Source organism: Homo sapiens, chromosome 3 (genome assembly GCF_000001405.40).
Source record: "Homo sapiens chromosome 3, GRCh38.p14 Primary Assembly".
NCBI classification, from domain to species: domain Eukaryota; kingdom Metazoa; phylum Chordata; class Mammalia; order Primates; family Hominidae; genus Homo; species Homo sapiens.
Genome location: NC_000003.12, coordinates 177,358,020 through 177,378,875, shown reverse-complemented (window position 1 = coordinate 177,378,875; position 20,856 = coordinate 177,358,020). Strand labels below are relative to the sequence as shown.

Below are 20,856 nucleotides of genomic sequence, written 5' to 3'. Positions count from 1 at the left end.
AGCTCTGCACTACATTTCCCAGAAGTGACTTTTTCCACCCTTTCTTTCCCCTCTTTTCCATCAGTATTAAAGCCGGGCGCAATGGCTCACACCTGTAATCCCAGCACTTTGAGAGGCAGAGGTGGGTGGATCACTTGGGGTCAGGAGTTCGAGACCATCCTGGCCAACCAACACGATGAAACCCCATCTCTACTAAAAATACAAAAATTAGCCAGGCATGGTGGCGGGCACCTGTAATCCCAGCTACTCAGGATGCTGAGGCACGAGAATCACTTGAACCCGGGAGGCAGAGGTTGCAGTGAGCCGAGATCTTGCCATTGCACTATAGCCTGGGCAACAAGAGCGAAATTCTGTCTCAAAAGAAAAACAAAAAATAAAAAATAAATAAAGGGGTGAAAAGGGACTCCCCTAACCCTCACTGCCACAGTGGTGAGAAAAGAAATCTTCTCACACCCCTAGAATCCACATAGTAAGAAGGGACTTTCCTGCCTACGTGACAAGATGGGAATCCCCTGTCACAGAAGCATCTAGAAAGTAAGGGATGTCCGTCCGTAAATAGAGTATGCACCTCCCAGCCAAGGAAACCGATCTTCCTTGAAGAACAGCTCTATCTACACGTTTCATACACTGTCTCATTGAATCTGCTTTATCATTCCCATTTTACAGACGAGGAATCTGAACTTGTCCATGGTCACAGAACCAGTGAGTGGTAGAATCCAGTTGTCAGTCAATACATGTCAGAATAGTTCCAAAATCACTGTTTCTTCCATTGTAAAATGCACTAAGTTGTCCTCGTGGTCAACTTATTTTAGTTTTTTGTTTGTTTTTTCCTTTTTTTTCTATAGGTGGGGCAAGAGGCAAAGAAGATGTTTTATGTTTTTTGTTTTTGAGACGGTGTCTCACTCTGTCTCCCAGGCTGGAGTGCAGTGGAGCAATCTCTGCTCACTATAACCTCCGCCTCCCAGGCTCAAGGGATTCTTCTTCCTCCACCTCCCTAGTAGCTGGGATTACAATCACTCACCGCCACACCTGGCTAATTTTTGTATTTTTAGTAGAGACGGGGTTTCACCATGTTGGCCAGGCTGGTTTTGAACTCCTGACCTCAAATGATCCACCCGCCTCGGCCTCCCAAAGTGCTGGGATTACAAGCATGAGCCACTGCACCAGGCCAAGAAGATAGTTTTAAAGGGAGAAGTCAAACAAGATGGTAAAGGCTAAAAAATTGTTCTCAAAATGTTTCCAAAATATCCCTTATCATCTTGAGACGGAAGGCAACTCATTGTTGATCTCATGTTAAAGCAACACAGAATAACACCATAAACTTTTTCCATCTACCGTTATCAAGATCAAGGAACCTGGGATTTGTCTTTGTAAATATTATTGACAAACTCCAGGCCAGCGGGGGAAACCCCTATATAGCCCTAGGGAACACACTTAGCCCAGCCTATGTTCCCCAGCATTCTCGGGTAAAACCCAGCTTTCCCCAGGCAAAAGGTGAAGGTGCATAGGAAGTCCAACCCTGTTTGGGAGACTGCCAGACAGAGCCGCCTTCTCAGACCCACTCACCTGGAGCTAAGGTGCCAACACGGGCGTCACTTGAAAATAAGCAGAAAAGCTCTGCAAGTCCCGGCACGGCCACACCACCTCTGCAGTTGCTTCCATTGGAATCACTCCCTGACTCGCTGCTATGCCAGTTTATTTTGTTGCTTATATTCATTAGATGAAAATGATTTAATTAGGCGATTACGTTCGGGCTTGTTTGGTGTGCAGTATCACTCCTGCATTTTTTGGTTGTGTCCACGTATTTAAACCTCAGGGGAAAGGAGAATATTTTTATTCCCATGGCACCTGTCCTTTAGGACAAATTAAATATTGTTTTCTCTTGCTGCCTACCTCATGATCTCACTGCTTTGGGGCTGCATAATGAGAAAGAAACCATTTCAGTAATTGCCATATTGTGAAGAGCTGTAGGGAACGTTATAGCTACTGTATCATAGTACTGAAGTTTTCGTTTATAGGAATAAAAATAGTGATAGAGGAGAGTCCACAAATGCATTGTTTTTCAAGGCTGGCTCAGTCTTTGACTATCTGTGCCCCCTTGATAAAAAATGGCCAAAGATATGCAGACATAGTCTAACTCCTCTTTTCTCATCTGTGCACGTTCAGGAGAAGCAACCATGAACATGAAACAAAAGGGGAAAAACACAGAATGTTTCAGTGCCGTGCATGCAACTGATGCTCAAAGAAAAAAAAGAAAAATACTTGGCCGGGCGTAGTGGTTCATGCCTGTAATTCCAGCCCTTTGGGGGGCCGAGGTGGGTAGAACACTTAAAGGTCAGGAGTTTGAGACCAGCCTGGGCAACATGGTGAAACACCGTCTCTACTAAAAATACAAAAATTAGCTGGGCGTGGTGGCGTACGCCTGTAGTCCCAGCCACTCAGGAGGCTGAGGCAGGAGAATCGCCTGAACCTGGGAGGTGGAGGTTGCAGTGAGCTGAGATTGTGCCAGTGCACTTCAGCCTGGGTGACAGAGCAAGACTCCATCTCAAAAAAAAAAAAAAAATACGGCTGGGTGTGATGGCTCACGCCTGTAATCCCAGCACTTTGGGAGGCTGAGGCGGGTGGATCACAAGGTCAGGAGATTGAGACCATCCTGTGATTGGTGAAACCTCGTCTCTACTAAAAATCCAAAAAAAAAAAAAATTAGCCAGGCGTGGTGGCGGGCGCCTGTAGTCCCAGCTACTCGGGAGGCTGAGGCAGAAGAATGGCATGAACCCGGGAGGCGGAGCTTGCAGTCAGCCGAGAATGCGCCACTGCACTCCAGCCTGGGCGACAGAGCGAGACTCCGTCTCAAAAAAAAAAAAAAAAAAAAAAAAAAAACAAACCTGCTGATTTGATTTTTAATATGATTTACATTCTAGGTCTTTTCAAATGCCCTCAACATTAAAGACTAATGCTTCTGAACAAAAGCAAGTTCTCTCGTTCCCCAGGAGTCCCCTCTGTACTTTCCAATCCCCTCCCCCTCCAAATCACTCATACAACCCTTCCATAATTTTTCTCAGGCTCAATCCTATACATAAAGTACCATCTTTCTGATTAGGATCTCACATTTTATCATTTAGTAGCTCCTGAAATCTTTGCTCCTCCTAGGAATGCCTTTTAATCTGTCTCCCATACCCACACACACTAGGATGTGATTCCTATCATTCCTCTTCTCGAAACATCTCACAAAATTAATGTACTTATTTGCCTATAGGTAACAAAGACTTTATTTCGTATGTCTGCTCCTTGTTCAACTGCTTTCCCCCATAATGATACAGCAGTGAATATAGTAAGAAAACAGGAATCCATCTGCTGTGTTGGAGACAATCTCTATACCCAGTTTGCTCCTTGTCTGCAGTGATACTTATGATGGCATTTAAGAGAGCCTAGGGAGAAAACCAGACTGGAAACTTGCTATTTCAGTTATCACAAGCAAGAACAGGGCATCCTGCTTGCCTGTCTGTCCTCATTGGTGTCACAGGCATAGGTTACACTCGTCCATGCCCATAAGAAAATATCAGAAAATGACTGAACCATGATCGCTTTTTAAAATTGTGATTCACATATCATACTCATCACATCATTCAAGCCTCTTTGTGGCCGGACGCGGTGGCTCACTCCTGTAATCCCAGCACTTTGGGGGGTTGAGGCAGGAGGATCACCTGAGGACAGGAGTTCGAGACCAGCCTGGCCAACATGGTGAAACTCTGTCTCTACTTAAAATACAAAAATTAGCCGAGCGTGGTGGCACATGCCTGTAATCCCAGCCACTCAGGAGGCTGAGGCAGGAGAATCGCTTGAACCTGGGAGGTGGAGGTTGCAGTGAGCCAAGATCGCGCCATTGCACTCCAGCCTGGGGGATAAGAGCTAGACTTCGTCTCAAAAACAAAGCCTCTTTGCCCATGGCAGCAAGGCTCTGGGGTTTTTACTTTGTTGTTGCCGTTGTTGTTGTATTACCTTGAGTGTTTATAAAAACATCTCAGGTATTTCTGAGTAAACCAGCTGCTTCTGCTCCACTCGTGAATTTTGCAGTTTACTGGGTTCTAGCTCCATGTCAAATGGTAGCTATATAAACAATCTCCTCTACACATGTCCTTTACATGCACAGGAGAGGGCCTGCCTGGTACAGCCTGCCATCCATCCATCAATCCATCCATTCAGAATATTTTTATTAATGGCTTGCAATGCATTGTTCTGGGCATTGAGGATATTACCCTAAACAAGGCAGACAGGAACCCCATACTATGAAAATTACCCTGTAAGATAGAAGCCTCTTTCCTGACCTCTAGATGAAGTCCCAGAGGAAGCCTGCCTCTGTCCTTTTGTAGACTTTCTATAGTTATAACAGGCTTAGCTGGGGCGGCATCCTGCTCTGCTGTTAGTTTTCTGTTCCCCACTGCAGCACGGGTGAATCAGAGCAAGTAATAATCATTGGTTTGTACAGTGCCCATTTCTAGATTTTATTTCATAAACCTATGCCCAGTTCACATCTAGTAATAGAACGTGCTCAGACACTGTGACTGCTGTGCCAGTCAAAGCCAAGAGACATTCCTAATTCAACTGGATAATATTTTAATGTGTAAAACTTGTGGCTTTTTTTAGACAAGAAACATATTAAAAGAATGCCTAATTCTATCCAGTTCAAAGATTATAAGAGTTGGATGCAAAGATCTACAATTTAAGGTTCAGATCTTAAGATTTGTGATCTTACAATTTACGTATCTTAAGAGCCAAAAAAATGAAAAATCCAGTCCAGCATGGCTGCTTCCTGAGCCCTTGCCTTAACTTGGTACAATTAGATATTGCAGATTGCATATCTAAAAGCCAGTTAAGTAGCAGACTTCCCTGACAGACAAAACTAGGAAAAGCTTCAGTCGAACCTAGTGGACATCGGATCACCCCAAATGGAGGCCATTTACCCAGCAACTATGAAAAGAAGCCTGCCAGAACATTTTAGTTCTACACGACACTCTACTAATACCCAGGCCATCTTCTCCAGGCATTAAGTGCCTTCAACAAGCCAAGAAGGCAACTCCCATAATCAAGTAGAAAGGTGATGCAAACTAAGTATTTTGTGTCCCTCCAAAATTCATATGTTGAGGCCTAAATCTCCAATGTGATGATATTTTAAAGGTGGGGCCTTAGGTAGGTAATTAGATTATGAATGGGATTGGTGACTTTATAAGAGACATTAGAGAAATGATCTCTTTCTCCACCAAGTGAGGGTACAATGAAAACACTGTCGTCTGTAAACCAGGAAGACGACCTTTGCCAAGACCCTTACTATGCTGGTGCCATGATCTTAGATTTCCAGCTCCAGAACTGTGAGAAAAGTTTCTGTTATTTAACACACCCAGTCTATGGCAATTTGTTATAGCAGCTGGAACTGACTAAGACTGAGGGCAATCCTCAAAATTCATCAGGGTAATACATTTGCTTCATAATAGATAAGCATCTTTTTAAAAAAATTTTTTTGACATTTTTATAGAGACACGGTCTCACTGTGTTGACCAGGCTGGTCTCAAACTCCTGGCCTCAAGCAATCCTCCCATCTCGGCCTCCCAAAGTGCTGGGATTACAGGCATGTGCTATCATGACCAGCCAGATAAGCATCCTTTAATTCCCATAAATTTTGGAAATTGAGTTGATAAATGCTTAATAAAAAAAAAAACCTGTAATCTTTATAATTTTGTTATTAAGGGATATGTGAATATTTGGAATTTAAAAAGTCACATGAGACTTTGGCCTCTTCATGTAACAGTTCAGCCCTGTAATTCCACCTTAAAATATATGATTGAGTTATTGATTTAGAGTTTAGATTTACACAATTTTAATGATATAATATTGGAAGATTTAAGAGATTTTAGTGTTCCCATAGCTGAATTTGATTTGTTAGATTTACAACAGTTATTTAAATACTTAGAAAAGGTCTGTTAGCTAAAGCAAGCAACTAAAGTCTATAAAAGGAAAATCAAGCACATTTAAATCATAAATGAAATTTAAAGTGTTCCAGGCTGTTTATTTAAGTTTGTGAAAAGGACCAAATATTAGTCAAAGGCTGCTTTAAAAATGATTGTTAAAATTTGCTCGATTTATAAACAGAAAAATAAGATTTATAAACTGAACTTAAAAGCTTAAAAAGAACTACATGTGTGGATTTGTAACATTAATTAATTGATTATTAATTTTTAAAGCGAAAAAACTCAGTAATCTTTTCTGCACACAAAAACTGCCTTGAAGGATAATTTTTAAGCCATATTTAACAACCTTCTTGGGAACTCAGTGAGTGAATGAGGAAAAAGAATTACGCTCACGAAGAAAAGGTAGATAAAATATATTTTTAAAAATATGGCCCAGAGTTAAAACTAAATAGTATGCTTTCACTTACCCTCTCCTACCTTCCAGTAAATGCAGGAGAAATGCTACAAGATAATGTGGATGAAGCAAAAGATCAGAATTATTCAACAATTTTTATTATTGAGTACCTACTCTATGTTTTACACTATGGGAAAATGCAAGAATATGTGGCATTTATAATCTAGTGAGGCAGGTAAGACTCACAAATCTGAAACAGAGAACAGAATGATTCAGTTCAATAAACACTTATTGAGAGCCAGCCTTGCAACAGATATAGTGACTGGCTCCAGGGAGGGGGAGGCGGCTGGGCTCAAAAACAAACAATAAGCTTTATAATTAAGTGCTAAATTGCGTGTTGCAGAAGTCAAGTGAGAAGCATTCAAAGAGAGATAACAAAGTCTATTGGAACAGCTGAGATTTATGGATGAGGTAAGAATTGATCTGGGCTTTGAAGGATGGAAAGGACTTCAATAGGCAAAGGGGGTGGGGCTGGAAGAGAGGGGCACTATGAATCTAGTGTGCAAGGGAAGCAACAAAAGAAACCAGCAGAAATGCTACACATTGAATGACAGTGGAATTAGATCATGGAGCAATTTCTAAATTACACAAAACTAAAATTAAAGCTAGTTACTAGACTAAGCTACTAAACAATAATAAAAGCAATAATAATTACTACCAAACATTGAGAGGAGGTGGCATAAAATAAGATAAATCCTCATATGCCATAGCAATGAGTCAATAGGTACTATTTAAATTTGATTAATCATAAAAAAATTATGAGCATATATTACTAAACCTTTTGTGATAAACACCAAAGGAAAGATAAAGCTAAAATAGGTTGTCTCTGGGGCTGGAACTAAGGATGAGGAGGGTGGGGGACCAGAGAATCTTGTTATAAACTTTTCTGCACAATTTGAGTTGATACCACATGATTGTATCACTTTGATCCAAATATGAATATTCAAAACAAATAAACTCAGTTATTAGGCCATGTTTGTTTGACCCAGAGGTAGATTTACTACTAAGCTAATAAAGCCTAAGCCCTGATTCCTTCCAAGACCTACATCTAATTTTGTATGTATGTACTTTCTAATTTTTTTTTTAAAAAGGCCTTCCCACAGTCATATAAGCACCAGGCCCTGGATGACCCTGGTTTGAACTACAGTCTTTTTCATTTCTCACAGTTCTTTAATGCCTTTCTTCCTTGACATTTCCTAGAAAGAACCTAGTCTCTCTACTTTTTATGTTACTTTTAATCAAGGCATATGGTCTTAGTTATGCTAATAAATAATCTTGCTTCAAAATAAAATCTCTACTTGATTCAGTAAACAATATCGAGGCACGTAGTTTTGTTGTTGTTGTTGTCCATGAAAAGAGTATATTCTTTTATTGTTTTTTGTCCATACATGTTAAGTTTCAACTTTCAATAATAAAATTCAATAAATTTGATTCCTTCATCATAAAAACTTGCTTTACACATTATTTACATGTTGCCAAAGTCCATGCAAAACATCACAAGGATTTGATTGACTCCATGCATGATGCCATCACACAGAAGGAGGAGGGAGCTAATCCAGTAACATACATTCAAAGATTAAATTATAGATACGTACAGTGTATTTAGCACTGTTCATTAATATTATAACACCTTCCTCTCAAAGACAGGCATTCTTAAGCGTTAATCACAATATACCAGAATTTGCACTTAGATTTTTAAACAAAGAAATGAACAAGGGGGAGTGGTGATCTAAAAAAACGTCCCCTTGACAGAGTTTGAATTGAAGTTGGGAGAGCCTGGAAGCACAGGGACCAGTTGGCAACTGTTGCAGTAACTGCTTGGTGAGATATAAAGGCTTGGATCAGCTGGTAATAGAAGTAATGAAGAAAATGAGACAGATGCAGGGGCTATTTTAGAAAGGAATTGACCAGGTCGGGTTACCAGCTAAAGACCTGCCCTACAAATAGTTAGGATACTTCCAAGTTACACTTTGGGATAGAGCTTGATTTTTCACTCATTTTTTGGCAAATGTCTCACAGGCTTCAACTGAAAAGTTGACCAGTAAAGCCAATTTGAATGAATGCAGCCTGCCAGTCCCTCTGTAATTCTAGTCAAATATTTATGGATGGAATTCTACCAGTGACTTTCTTTTAATAACAAAATCATGAATTGTCTAGCCCTGGATATGTATTCATATTCTTGTACACAATCTTAGGAGCATGTGCTGATGAGACAGGCTAATAAATGGATTCAATTAAAACAGCTGACAATCTTTTGGACCAAGGGAGTTCTCACTTGGACAGTTTATATAGCTGCCTATATTCTTACTGCGGCAGATTCTTAACAAATCCACGTCCTAGAAGAAGAGGCACATCACAAAACTGTTCTGCAATAGTAAAGCTACGTGGCAAACAAAAACAAATCCCAAGCTAAAGAATTTGGGGGAGAACATCTAATATTTTGTATTGGTCTTGTGACTTGTATTTCTTAATATCTCTACAATGTATTTTGAGTAGTGTGTCTACATCATGAGGATTCTGAATACATAAACTGTAGGTCTTTGAATTTCTCTGTGGAAATAAGAAATTTAAAATCATGTTTGTATGCAGCCAACCCAGCACAGCTGACCTGAAAAGTGAAGCCACTTAATAATGCACCTGGGTTGTTTCCTGATTGATTGATGATTGATTGACTGTCATGCATATGGAGAAATTAGCAGCCAGGCTTGAAACTTGGTAGGAACTGCTCTCCTTTATCTTTCATCCTCTGTCATGGGTTGGTTTTTTTGTTTTTTTGTTTTGGGGGTTTGTTTGGTGGGTTTTGTTTTTGTTTTTGTTTTGTTTTTTTTTTTGAGTCGGAGTCTCACTCTGTCGCCCAGGCTGGAGTGCAGTGGCGCAATCTCGGCTCACTGCAAGCTCTGCCTCCTGGGTTCATGCCATTCTCCCACCTCAGCCTCCCGAGTAGCTGGGACTACAGGCGCCCGCCACCATGCCTGGCTAATTTTTTGTATTTTTAGTAGAGATGGGGTTTCACCATGTTAGCCAGGACGGTCTCGATCTCCTGACTCGTGATCCACCCGCCTCAGCCTACCAAAGTGCTGGGATTACAGGCGTGAGCCACCGAGCCTGGCCCACGGTGGGTTGTTTTTGTTGTTGTTGTTGTCGTTGTTTGTCTTACAAATGGAGCCTAGGCGGGGCACGGTGGCTCACGCCTGTAATCTCAGCACTTTGGGAGGCTGAGGTGAACAGATCACGAGGTCAGGAGTTCAAGACTAGCCTGGCCAACATGGTGAAACCCCGTCTCTACTAAAAATACAAAAAAATTAGCTGGGCCTGGTGGTGGGCGCCTGTAATCCCAGCTACTTGGGAGGCTGAGGCAGGAGAATTGCTTGAACTCAGGAGGTGGAGGGTGCAGTGAGCCAAGATTGTGCCACTGCACTCTAGCCTGGGCAACAACAGCAAGACTCTGTCTCAAAAAAAAAAAAAAAAAAAAAAAGTGGAGCCTAATGCTCTACCCTTTTGTTTTTAAAAAAATAACTTTGATTGCATCAATAAATACTAAAATTATACTCACTAATCATAATGCCTACTAAGTGCAGAAGTTGAGTTAAGAAGTGGAAATACCGGGCACAGTGGCTCACGCCCGTAATCCCAACACTTTGGGAGGCCAAGGCTGGTGGATCATCTGAGGTCAGAAGTTCTGGACCAGCCTGGCCAACATGGGGAAACCCTATCTCTACTAAAAATACAAAAATTAGCTGGGCCTGGTGGCAGGAACCTGTAATCCCAGCTACTCAGAGAGGCCAAGGCAGGTGAATCACTTGAACCCGGGAGGCGGAGGTTGCAGTGAGCCGAGATAGCACCATCGCACTCCAGCCTGGGGGACAAGAGTGAGACTTTGTCTCAAAACAAACAAACAAACAAACAGACAAACAAAAAGAAGTGGAAATACAGGCCAGGCGCGGTAGCTCATGCCTGTAATTCCAGCACTTTGGGAGGCTGAGGTGGGCAGATCGCCTGAGATCAGGAGTTCCAGACTAGCCTGGCCAACATGGTGAAACTCCATCTCTATTAAAATTACAAAAAAATTAACCGGGTGTGGTGGTGCATGCCTATAGCCTAGCTACTCAGGAGGCTGAGAAGGCAGAATCACATAAACCCGGAAGGCGGAGGCTGCAGTGAGCAGAGATCATGCCACTTCACTCCAGCCTGGGCAACAGAGTGAGACTCCATCTAAAAAAAAAAAAAAAAAGTGGAAATACAGAGCTAAATATGTGAAGTGCCCCTGCAATAGCTCGAAAACTAGTGAGCAAATTAAACAGAAAACCACCCTGTGAGTGCGATGATGGAGACATATTCGTTTCCACATTCTATTCTCTCATCCTCATGTAAAAGGAAGTGGGGGAGACTTTCAATGCATCATAAATTTTACTCCCCTCTAGATTGCAACCTTTCTGACATTTTCTCCCACTTTCCACTATTATTTGTCCTTGTTCTCTTCACAGCTGAAAGCTCTCCCTCTCTGCTGGCTCCTTGCCATCATCCGCATTATTAGTATGCTGACGCAGTGCCCGTCTTCATATATACCTATATATGCCTCCAACACAATGCAATCTTTATTAAAAGGTTGTGTTGGCCAGGCACGGTGGCTCACTCCTGTAATCCTAGCACTCTGGGAGGCTGAGGCAGGCGGATCACCTGGAGTCGGGAGTTCAAGACCAACCTGACCAACATGGAGATACCCCATCTCTACTAAAAATACAAAAAAATTAGCTGGGCGTGGTGGTGAATGCCTGTAACCCCAGCTACTTGGGAGGCTGAGGCAGGAGAATCGCTTGAACCCGGGAGGTGGAGGTTGCAGTGAGCCGAGATCGCGCCACTGCACTCCAGCCTGGGCAACAAGAGTGAAACTCTGTCTCAAAAAACAAACAAACAAACATAAATAAATAAATAAATGGTTGTCTCCAATAACTGCCTCCTTGGCCACACCACCCACTTTCTTCTCACCCACTGTAGTTTCCCACCTGCTACTTCTCTCCAGAAACTGCTCTTGCCAAGACAGCTACTCATCCCCTTAGGCCAGAACCAACGGTTTATTTCTGTGATCTGTTAGCTGTTTTCACACTGTTGAATTCTCTTACTACCCTTAACATCCTTGCAAAAAATAAAAAAAAAAAGCAAACAAACAAACAAAAAATTCCTGGTTTTCTGTCTTCTTCTCTGGCTATTTCTTCCCAATCTCTTTTGCTGATGATCCTTTTAAGTATTAGTTTAATATGATCCCTGGGTTTTGTTTTCTGTCTCTCTTCTCTTTGTATACAGCCTCCAGTGATCTCATCCTCTCCAATCACCATCTAAGAGAATACATTTGATTTAAAATTATTTTAAGTGTCCTAGACTGAATTTCTCAGGTACACCCTAAAATGGAGCCCAAATCCCTAAGGTGACTCCAGAATGAAACTTTTTTTTTTTTTTTTTTGAGACAGAGTCTCGCTCTGTCATCCAGGCTGGAGTGCAATGGCGCGATCTTGGCTCACCGCAACCTCCGCCTCCCAGGTTCAAGCGATTCTCCCGCCTCAGCCTCCCAAGTAGCTGGGATGACAGGCGCCTGCCACCATGCCCGGCTAATTTGGTATTTTTAGTAGAGATGGGGCTTCTCCATGTTGGTCAGGCTGGTCTCGAACTCCTGACCTTGGGTGATTCACCCACCTCAGCCTCCCAAAGTGCTGGGATTACAGGCCTGAGCCACTGCCCCCAGCCGGAACTGACTGCTTAAAGCCCTCAGTATTCTCATTGGTGAGAACAGATTAAATAGCCAGGAGCACGGAAGACCGGCTTACCCTCCAGAGGCTGCTTTAGCTCATATTGGAAATTCTTGCAAAGCCCCAGAACTACAAAGAAGAAAATACAAGTAAAGAACAAAAGGGCGGGCCGGGCCCAGTGGCTCACGCCTGTAATCCCTGCACTTTGGGAGGCCGAGGTAGGCGGATCATGAGGTCCGGAGATGGAGACCCTCCTGGCTAACGCGATGAAACCCCGTCTCTACTAAAAATACAAAAAGTTAGCCAGGTGTGGTGGCGGGCACCTGTAGTCCCAGCTACTCAGGACGCTGAGGCAGGAGAATGGCGTGAACCCTGGAGGCTGAGCTTGCAGTGAGCCGAGATTGCGCCACTGCACTCCAGCCTGGGTGACAGAGCAAGACTCCGTCTCAAAAGAAAAAAAAAAAGAAAAAAGAAAAAGAAAAACAAAAGGGCACGCTGGATTACCAGCTATCTCCTTTAGAAATTCGTGGCTTAGGCTGGGTGCCGTGGCTCACGCCTGTAATCCCAGCACTTTGGGAGGCCAAGGCATGCAGATCACGAGGTCAGGAGATCAAGACCATCCTGGCTAACACGGTGAAACCCCGTCTGTACTAACAATACAAAAATTAGCCGGGCGTGATGGCGCATGCCTGTAGTCCCAGCTACTCTGGAGGCTGAGGTAGAATTGCTTGAACCCGGGAGGCGGAGGTTGCAGTGAGCCGAGATCATACCACTGCACTCCAGCCTAGGTGACAGAGCGAGACTCTGTCTCAAAAAAAAAAAAAAAGTTTGTGGCTTCCTTTGAACTATTTTCTTTTGTTTATTTGTTTGTTTGTTTATTGTGAGACGGAGTCTCACTCTGTTGCCCAGGCTGGGGTGCAGTGGCACAATCTCAGCTCACTGCAACCTCCACCTCCCGGGTTCAAGTGATTCTCCTGCCTCAGCCTCCCACGTAGCTGGGACTACAGGCGTGCACCACCACCCCTGACTAATTTTTTTGTATTTTTAGTAGAGACAGGGTTTCACCATGTTGGCCAGGCTTATCTCAAACTCCTGACCTCATGTGATCTGCCCACCTTGGCCTCCCAAAGTGCTAGGATTACAGGTGTGAGACACCACGCCCAGCCCGCTTTGAACTATCTTCTTCCAAACAACAACAACCTGAGAAGGTGGTTTGTGCAATGGGGAATGAAGGGTGAGGAGAGACAGCTGACCATACCTAGGAAGGAATAGGAGTAGTTCTTCAACTCAGTCTATGGTAGAGGGAAAGGGTGGGGTGAAGAGGAGCACAACCATGTCCAGGTTATTCTCACTGAAATTATCTCAGTGGAAAAGGAAGAACCAAGCTAATGACATCCTGAGCCAAACGGTAACTATGAGAAAGGCCAGTGCTGTAAATGCTAGTCTAGCCACCAACCACCAGCAGCCCCACGAGGAGCCAGAGGCTCCCGGGAAAGATCCCCTTCGCAGTTCCTAAGCTCCCATAGAATGGGCCACAAAATACATCTGGGCCGACAATTCAAACATAATGTGTTATTAGTACAATCACTGGCTACATTGACCTCCACTTCTTTCCTGTTTACTGCAAGAACCCAGAACTGACTTTTTTCTAGGACAGCCGTCTTCAAACTGTGGATGCATGAAGACTTTCCAAGGGATACACAGAAAAGTCCACTTTTAAGGGAATCAATTTCCTCAACTTATATGTGTAACTGTCTGAGAAAGAGCTTAACATCAAGGTGACCTCTTTATCTCCTGCCTTCTACTTTACTGAAGAAATGCATACCTTGGACACACTCCAAATCTTACTGTGGTGCATGGCCCCAACCATGAGCACCAGCAAAGGAAGAATTAGGTCTCAGAATCAGTGTGGAGATGGCCAGGCATGATGGCTCATGGGGCAGGCAGATCGCTTGAGTCCAGGAGTTCGTGACCAGCCTGGGCAACATGGCAAAATCCTGTCTCTACAAAAGATATAAAGATTAGCCTGCTGCAGTGGCATATAGCTGTAGTCCCAGCTACTTGGGAGGTTGAGGTGGAGGATGACTTGAGCCAGGGTGCAGTAAGCCAGGATGGCGCCACGGCACTCCAGCCTGGGTGACAGAGCAAGACACTGCCTCAAAAAAAAATCAATGTAGAGGAAGAATCATTCCAATGACTTAAAATAAGTACTTTTGCTCATCAGATGGCTTCTTATTCTTTGCTCTCCACAAGACTGAAATAGAGTTTCATCACAACTGATTTCTGGCAAGCCATGAGATCTTTGACAAATGATTCAGAAGGAGTTTGGAGAATCTGGGGATAATATTGCTATTAAAAAAACTACTTACATCACCTATATATGTTATCAAGTTTCTTGAGTATGTCTGTGCACGTGCACGCACATATGTGAACAACAAATTAGAAACAGAATTGATGCTGAACTTGTCAGTCTAGTAATAGATAATATTAGTCAACCATAGCTACATAAGCTAATTGGAAGAAAAGCCATATTCTCCTGATTAATATATATATTATCAATAAAAGTTAACACTTTGGCCGGGCGCAGTGGCTCACACCTATAATCCCAGCACTTTGGGAGGCTGAGGCGGGCGGATCACTTGAGGTCAGGAGTTCAACACCAGCTTGGCCAACATGGTAAAACCCTGTCTCTACTAAAAATACAAAAATTAGCTGGGCATGCTGGCGCATGCCTGTAATCCCAGCTACTCAGGAGGCTGATGCAGGAGAATCACTTGAACCCAGGAGGCAGCAGGAGAATCACTTGAACCCGGGAGGTGGAGGTTGCAGTGAGCTGAGATCACGCCACTACACTCCAGCCTGGGCAACAGAGCAAGATTCTGTCTCAAAAAAAAAATCTTTTACTCTTAGAGCCATATAATCACACATAATTTTTTAATTAAAATTTATATTTATTTTGTTGATGAGATATAAATATGGCTACATCAATTCGAGGAGAAAAAAATGATATAAAACCTGCCAGTGTTAAAGAAGAGCTTGCTCATGAATTTTTTAAGTGAACGATGATGGGTATCCGATTGCTGTGGTATTTGGATCCTATTGGATACATTTTTTAAAGTGATGTTATGTTAAAATGTCAACTTTTTGCAATATACTAGATATTATTTCCTTTGCAACAACTTCCACTTAGGATGCCAAACTGTAGCTATCATTTTTAAAAAGAGCCCGGAATACATTGTTTTTCAAGATTCTTTTAGGGGGTACATGCACAAAACAGTGTGATGCTGACAACTAATATGGAATAGCAGTCCCCTAACCTTTTCATAAGGAAGTATCCCTTCTTGAACATTTTAAAAATAAAAGCAGTCATAGTTTTACTTTCTATACCTATTAACCAAGAAAAATCAAGTAACAAAAAAACAAACTAGTAGGTATTCAGTAACACTTAAAATTATTAAATGAATTGTTATATTCATCAAAATAGCATCTAAAGATTTTAACCCATATAGATGTGAAGTATATGATCCACTTATCTAGAGAATATCTAGGACACCCAGTGATTCACAGCAACTCTGTACTACACTACAGCCTCCAGTCTCGGAACCACACTGGATGGGTTCCGTTGACCTTTGCAGAGTGGTCTTTCCCTGTGGGGAGGCTAGAAAAATACTGAAGCAGCTCATTTCAAGTGGATATCCTGCTAAGGTATACACAGATTCAAATGCTTTCTGCAGTCAAGCAAGTAGCTTAAATGAGGGAACCTGCCTATGGGTGAGAAAAGAGGGAGAGGCTGGAATTGTAGGCAACAGAAGGCTGTGTGCCGGGTTTCAAAGGGGCAGCTGCTATCCAGCCCCACCCAATTGTTGACAAGGCTTCTGTTGCCTGCAGCTTTTTACTTTTCAGGAAAAGCTGGATTTTCCTGTGAATCCTCTGGATTTTTAATCCAACTTTTCTAAAAACAACTGTTCAGGCTAACCTAAATACAAATGGGAGCTAAATCCACGTTCAATGTCTGCACCAGTGCAACTGGAAGTGTGGTCCCAGGTTCAACAACTGTTTCTTGCATTCCACAATGAGATGTGCATAGCAACTGAGAATAACACTTAGAAATAGCCATAACAGTTTGACAGGGTAATTTTGTCATGTAATTTTCTGAATCTAATAATAAAAAATTGGCTTGTATCTTATACATCTGTTTTATTTCCCTAATTTTTTAGAAACAAAAATATCAGTGGGCAGTAGATTAAAAATCTTGCCCATGACAGTTTAAGAAGCATTGCTGTGGTCTTCATCAAAGCAAGCGGACCACTGGAGGATGCTGTATTTGATAACTGAATCTCCGTGTCTAGAATCGTCACATGGACCGCCTGAAAGAGACAAGCCTATGAATCAAAATGCAACCAGTTCTTTCCAGCTGACAAATATTTGGCAGTAAAGAACCAGAGGAACGGGGGAAATAATGTCACTCCCGGAGGACCGCTCCTAGCCCATCAGATTACCAGGGTTCCTCCAGGGCCAGCTGTGGGAGGAATAGCCTGATGCCACGGTCACCTGGAGTTCCTTCTCCCTCCCACAGCACAGGAGGACCAGCCCCTTAGAGGCCCTCACTGAAGGGCAGAGGGCATGCTCTCAGGCGGTCATTTCTGTGTCTACCTGTTCCAACACACTGAGCTTGTCCAGGGCAGAGACTCCTGCTCCTCCATCCCCCCAACATGGCTCTTCTTCACTGAATTCTCTCCTCCTCTGCCAAATATAAGGTTCCTTGCTAGGCAAAGAACCTTGTCAGCCTCTAGTTAGGGGTGCTGAACTTTGGCAACTGGTAGCCTGCCTCCTACTTATCAGGTTCTATCCAAGCTGATCCTCCAGACTTTGTCCTCCCCTGCTTAGGCAGAAACTCTAGGGTAGGAAGTCCGTTGCCCGCTGCCGAAGCTCAGCACCCAAAGCAAGGTGGCCCACGTCCTTCCCTAGCACGGATCCCTATAGTAGGCAGTTGTGTCTGGGAGAGGCTAAGGCAAAGACGAGAGGGTCAGCTGGGCTAAAAACCGGAAGTGCTTAGAGACTGAAGAGTTTCTTCATCTTGAGAACCAAAAAGACAGACTGTCAGGTCTGCATGCTCCTCTCTGAGCTGAGGGAAACCCCCTAGGTAAATAGCTCCCAGTTGGAGGCGAGTGCCCCGACCCTTCCCCACTTCAGCAGCTTCAGCCTCCAGACTCAACACATGCTGGGCCATCTTGGAGGTCTGGTGTTCCAGGCCTCCCCAGCTGCCTGCACCTCCGAAAGGGGAAATGGGGGTGGGGTGGGAGGGCCAGGCCTGGGGAAGTGATTTTAGAAGTGCAAGTCTGGTGGGAGAGTTTTTCCGTCAGACCATCTGGAGGGAAGTAGTCATAATCTACTACAAGTTCTCCCGAAATGATCAAGTACACATAGGGAAATTGTTACATTGTTGAAAAACATGTCTGCTTCGCTTCCTCCTGGGGAGCTCTAAAGACTTTTATCAGAGATGGACTCCCTGCTTGAGGTACAGAGAGATTAAGATGAGGCCAAAGAACAGCTCTCTCCCCTTGTAATTCTCCAGGTAGCCAGTTTTCAGCTGGCTGCCATTTTTTGCAATTTAAGATGCTAAGAGAATTTAAATGAGATCAGCCCTGTGTGTGTAAAGAAGGAAACAGTCTGTATGGCCAAACAGAAAAGGTACCATGTTGTATGAGTTACTGCCTTTCACGTTAACTGGTGTGTGTGTGTGTGTGTGTGTGTGTGTGTAGAACAAAAGTACAGTTGTCTATACAATTAGTTATTTAAGCTATTTCAAGTACCATTACAGCAAGGGGGAAGGGAGGGAACATCTAAACTACATAAAATTATTTTTAAAAATTCGTTCTAGAAAAAAGGAAATGCCAGAGTAGTAAGATAAGGAGTCTTAATTAGCAACAAATTCATCTATTTCCTTCCTCCAAAACCGAGACAGTCTTCTAAGGCAATTTGCTTGGAGAGCAGTTTTGCGCCATAAATCTGGGACATGTTTTTCATGTGTGTTTGCCCTGTGTGAGGCTTAAGAAAAACACAGCAACCAAACCATCCAGTTCAGCCCTGGAGGGAAAGACCTAGAAGACCTAATCACCCGTGATGGCGATTACATAACAGAGAATCGCGCGCGCGCGCGCGCACACACACACACACACACACACACACACACACACACTCCAAGAGTCTCAAAAAAAAAAAAAAGAAAATCAGCCTTTGGCTTCCTGTCACAGAAGATATCTCCTTTTTTTTTTTTTCCTTTGTGAGGATCACTAAGAATGCTTCTTAAAGACCAAGTGGATGTCTTTGGTAGAAATAGAGGTCACTTAAGGATGATTTATAAGTGCACCCGAAGGCAAAATGAAGCATGTATCGATATCTAAAGTGCATCTGCATTTAGTGAAGCAAAAGCTCATAGTCTGTTTCTAATTTGTGCCTTGCAGATGCCCTCCCCACTAGGGAAAGGCCTGGCTCTGAGCAGCCGCCCCTCCCCGAGGCCGCCAAGCTCCCAGTTCAGGCCCTTTCTTGGGCAGCCGGAGTGCTCCTCTCTTAGATAATGCCAGGTACTCTGGAAAGTAGCCGTGTAATAATACACAAACCCCTGATGATGTCAGCGTGTTATTGACTTTCCAAGTCTGAATGACTGAGCAGAGGAGCGGGGGTGGGGCGCAATCCATCCGGCAGCGCGGAGACCGGCCAAGCGAAAATGGGCTCGCCAGCCTGGCGGGGGAGGGGCGGCTCGCAACAGCGGCGGCTGCTTCGAGCTCCGGCTCTGCCGCCGCGGCGTCGGGGTCGCTGCCGCCCAGCCCAGGCGGGGCTCGGGTTCCCGCTCCTCTGATGTTTACGTTTGGTCAAAAACTCCTCAGACAGAAATAACTAATGCCTCCCCCCGGAAGCTTTTACCACGTGGCAGAGTGGGGTCACAAAGGGGGGAGCAGTGGCACGAAGGGGATGGGGAGGAAGACCTCCCTGTTCCCTCCCCCACCCTGCAGGGGCCTTCCTCTTAGGCTGCAGAGCCGAGGGTCGCTCTCCGTGGTGGAGTTCCCTCTGCAGAAGACCCCTGGAAAATTGCACTTCAGCAGTGGTGACATTTTATAGGCCATGATTTGCTGCATTTATGGCTCTGGCAGTGCAGGTGCGGAGTCGTAGGCTCCCGTTCTCACCCTGCAAATTGCTCACAGTGCAATCTGTCATCTTCAAGGCTAGGTGTGAACCGGGCAGGGTTGCCCTTAAAACGGAATTGCAGTTAAAGGCCGGGATCTGGAAGGAAGCGCTCTACCCCGGGGCGTGGCCTTTCCCACCGGCTCTGGACCTTTCCTTCAAGCCCCGCCATGCGCGCCCACCGACTTGGCTGTCGCAGCCTGGGGGCACTGGGCGCCCTGGGCTCTGCCTGCCTGCAGAGCTCTCATTCTTTCCGTTCCAGGCCTGTGGAATCCTCCAGTGAACAAGGCCTCATGCTGGCCTCTGCCCCACCCCACTGCGAGGAGCCGCTCCTCCTCCGAGGCCTATGGTTTTTCTCCCCGCGGAGTGGGCTTGGTGGGAGCACCGCGTGGCGCAAACAGCACGGGGGGACTTTGGAATCGCCTGGACTTGAGCCCTGCCCCACCACGTGTTCGCTGTGTGAATGTGGACAGGGTGGTTACCCTCTCTACAGCCCGCGTCTTAAAATGGGAGTAGTAACAACCCCCTCAACAGTTGTTCTGAGGATTAAGTGAAATTCAGATTTCATAGGAGACCTTTTTCAATAGTCAAGTCTCTCGCCTTTATGAGTCAAGTTCCACTGGGGCCAGAGGCCCTGTGGTTGTTTCTGAAAACAAGGTCAGCAGAAGTGCTAGACCCATTGTTTCCTCAACTCAGCCCTTCCCCCTACACTCCTGGCAAAGTGGAGCCCGCAGCCTCTTCCGACCCACTTCCACCTTCACCCACACCCACAGGCTTACAGGGCAGAGCTGTTTTGTTGACGGGGCGGGGGTGGGGGTGGGGACGTGGAAACTGTACCTCTGACCTAAGCTGGACCATTCACGGCCCTTCTCAAATTTCCCTCCCCCACCTTGCCACAGGGGATTGGTCCCAGCGGGAAGAGCTGACATATTTGAATCCAATCAAAAGCCTTCTTGGGAAATTTTGAAACTGGAAGTGAAAAAGTCAGTTTCTCCCCAGGGCTAAAACTGCAAGATATTATAACATACATGACCATGTTTCCCATGGTCAGGAGAGGAGAGGCAAGGCCAATCTGAAGGCAGAAACAGAGATAAAGATCGAGCAGAAAACAAAGATAGAGCCTCAGCCACAGCCAGACAGGCTGGGAGAGAGCGCTGAGGCCAACAGGAGTCTAATGTTATTGGCAGCATCGGTTCCTGTGTCCCTGGTACAGCCCTGCCTGCCCCCGATTCCTTGCGACAGCCCATTATTTTTTGCCACAAATTCTTATTGTTTAACCTAGTTTGTGTTTTTGTTGCTTCTAATCCAAAAATCCCATGGCATTTACTAGTTTAACTTACACAGTATGTCAGTTGAGTTCAAGAGCTCCCCAGCCCCATTATAACCCCCCGAGAAGTCTTCTATCCTCCGCAGCATATGTCAGTGCCCCATAACAAGGTGCTCAATAAATGCTCTTCAGATTGCACTGAGCAAGTTGTGAGTGGACGGGAAGTGCCCTGGTGGCTGTTGAAACTGG

General features: G+C 44.5%; 9 annotated features.

Moving 5' to 3' along the window:
• Window positions 430-609: an enhancer, noted in NCBI's record as "active region_20845". NCBI's record gives its function as "activates an Ori minimal core promoter by ATAC-STARR-seq in GM12878 lymphoblastoid cells {active_cell/tissue: GM12878}" and the evidence as "EXISTENCE:reporter gene assay evidence [ECO:0000049][PMID:35858748]".
• Window positions 12,530-13,031: an enhancer, noted in NCBI's record as "H3K4me1 hESC enhancer chr3:177083633-177084134 (GRCh37/hg19 assembly coordinates)". NCBI's record gives its function as "activates a minimal SCP1, AML or CMV promoter by ChIP-STARR-seq in naive H9 embryonic stem cells {active_cell/tissue: H9 hESC(naive)}" and the evidence as "EXISTENCE:reporter gene assay evidence [ECO:0000049][PMID:30033119]".
• Window positions 17,211-17,410: an enhancer, noted in NCBI's record as "active region_20844". NCBI's record gives its function as "activates an Ori minimal core promoter by ATAC-STARR-seq in GM12878 lymphoblastoid cells {active_cell/tissue: GM12878}" and the evidence as "EXISTENCE:reporter gene assay evidence [ECO:0000049][PMID:35858748]".
• Window positions 18,506-19,347: an enhancer, noted in NCBI's record as "OCT4-NANOG-H3K27ac-H3K4me1 hESC enhancer chr3:177077317-177078158 (GRCh37/hg19 assembly coordinates)". NCBI's record gives its function as "activates a minimal SCP1, AML or CMV promoter by ChIP-STARR-seq in naive and primed H9 embryonic stem cells {active_cell/tissue: H9 hESC(naive and primed)}" and the evidence as "EXISTENCE:reporter gene assay evidence [ECO:0000049][PMID:30033119]".
• Window positions 18,701-18,995: an enhancer, noted in NCBI's record as "tiled region #36; HepG2 Activating DNase unmatched - State 1:Tss, and K562 Activating DNase unmatched - State 1:Tss". NCBI's record gives its function as "activates a minimal TATA promoter and a strong SV40 promoter by Sharpr-MPRA in HepG2 and K562 cells {active_cell/tissue: HepG2 | K562}" and the evidence as "EXISTENCE:reporter gene assay evidence [ECO:0000049][PMID:27701403]".
• Window positions 20,021-20,315: an enhancer, noted in NCBI's record as "tiled region #9868; K562 Activating DNase unmatched - State 1:Tss". NCBI's record gives its function as "activates a minimal TATA promoter and a strong SV40 promoter by Sharpr-MPRA in K562 cells {active_cell/tissue: K562}" and the evidence as "EXISTENCE:reporter gene assay evidence [ECO:0000049][PMID:27701403]".
• Window positions 20,021-20,441: a biological region, named in NCBI's record as "Sharpr-MPRA regulatory region 9868".
• Window positions 20,202-20,441: an enhancer, noted in NCBI's record as "active region_20843". NCBI's record gives its function as "activates an Ori minimal core promoter by ATAC-STARR-seq in GM12878 lymphoblastoid cells {active_cell/tissue: GM12878}" and the evidence as "EXISTENCE:reporter gene assay evidence [ECO:0000049][PMID:35858748]".
• Window positions 20,562-20,761: an enhancer, noted in NCBI's record as "active region_20842". NCBI's record gives its function as "activates an Ori minimal core promoter by ATAC-STARR-seq in GM12878 lymphoblastoid cells {active_cell/tissue: GM12878}" and the evidence as "EXISTENCE:reporter gene assay evidence [ECO:0000049][PMID:35858748]".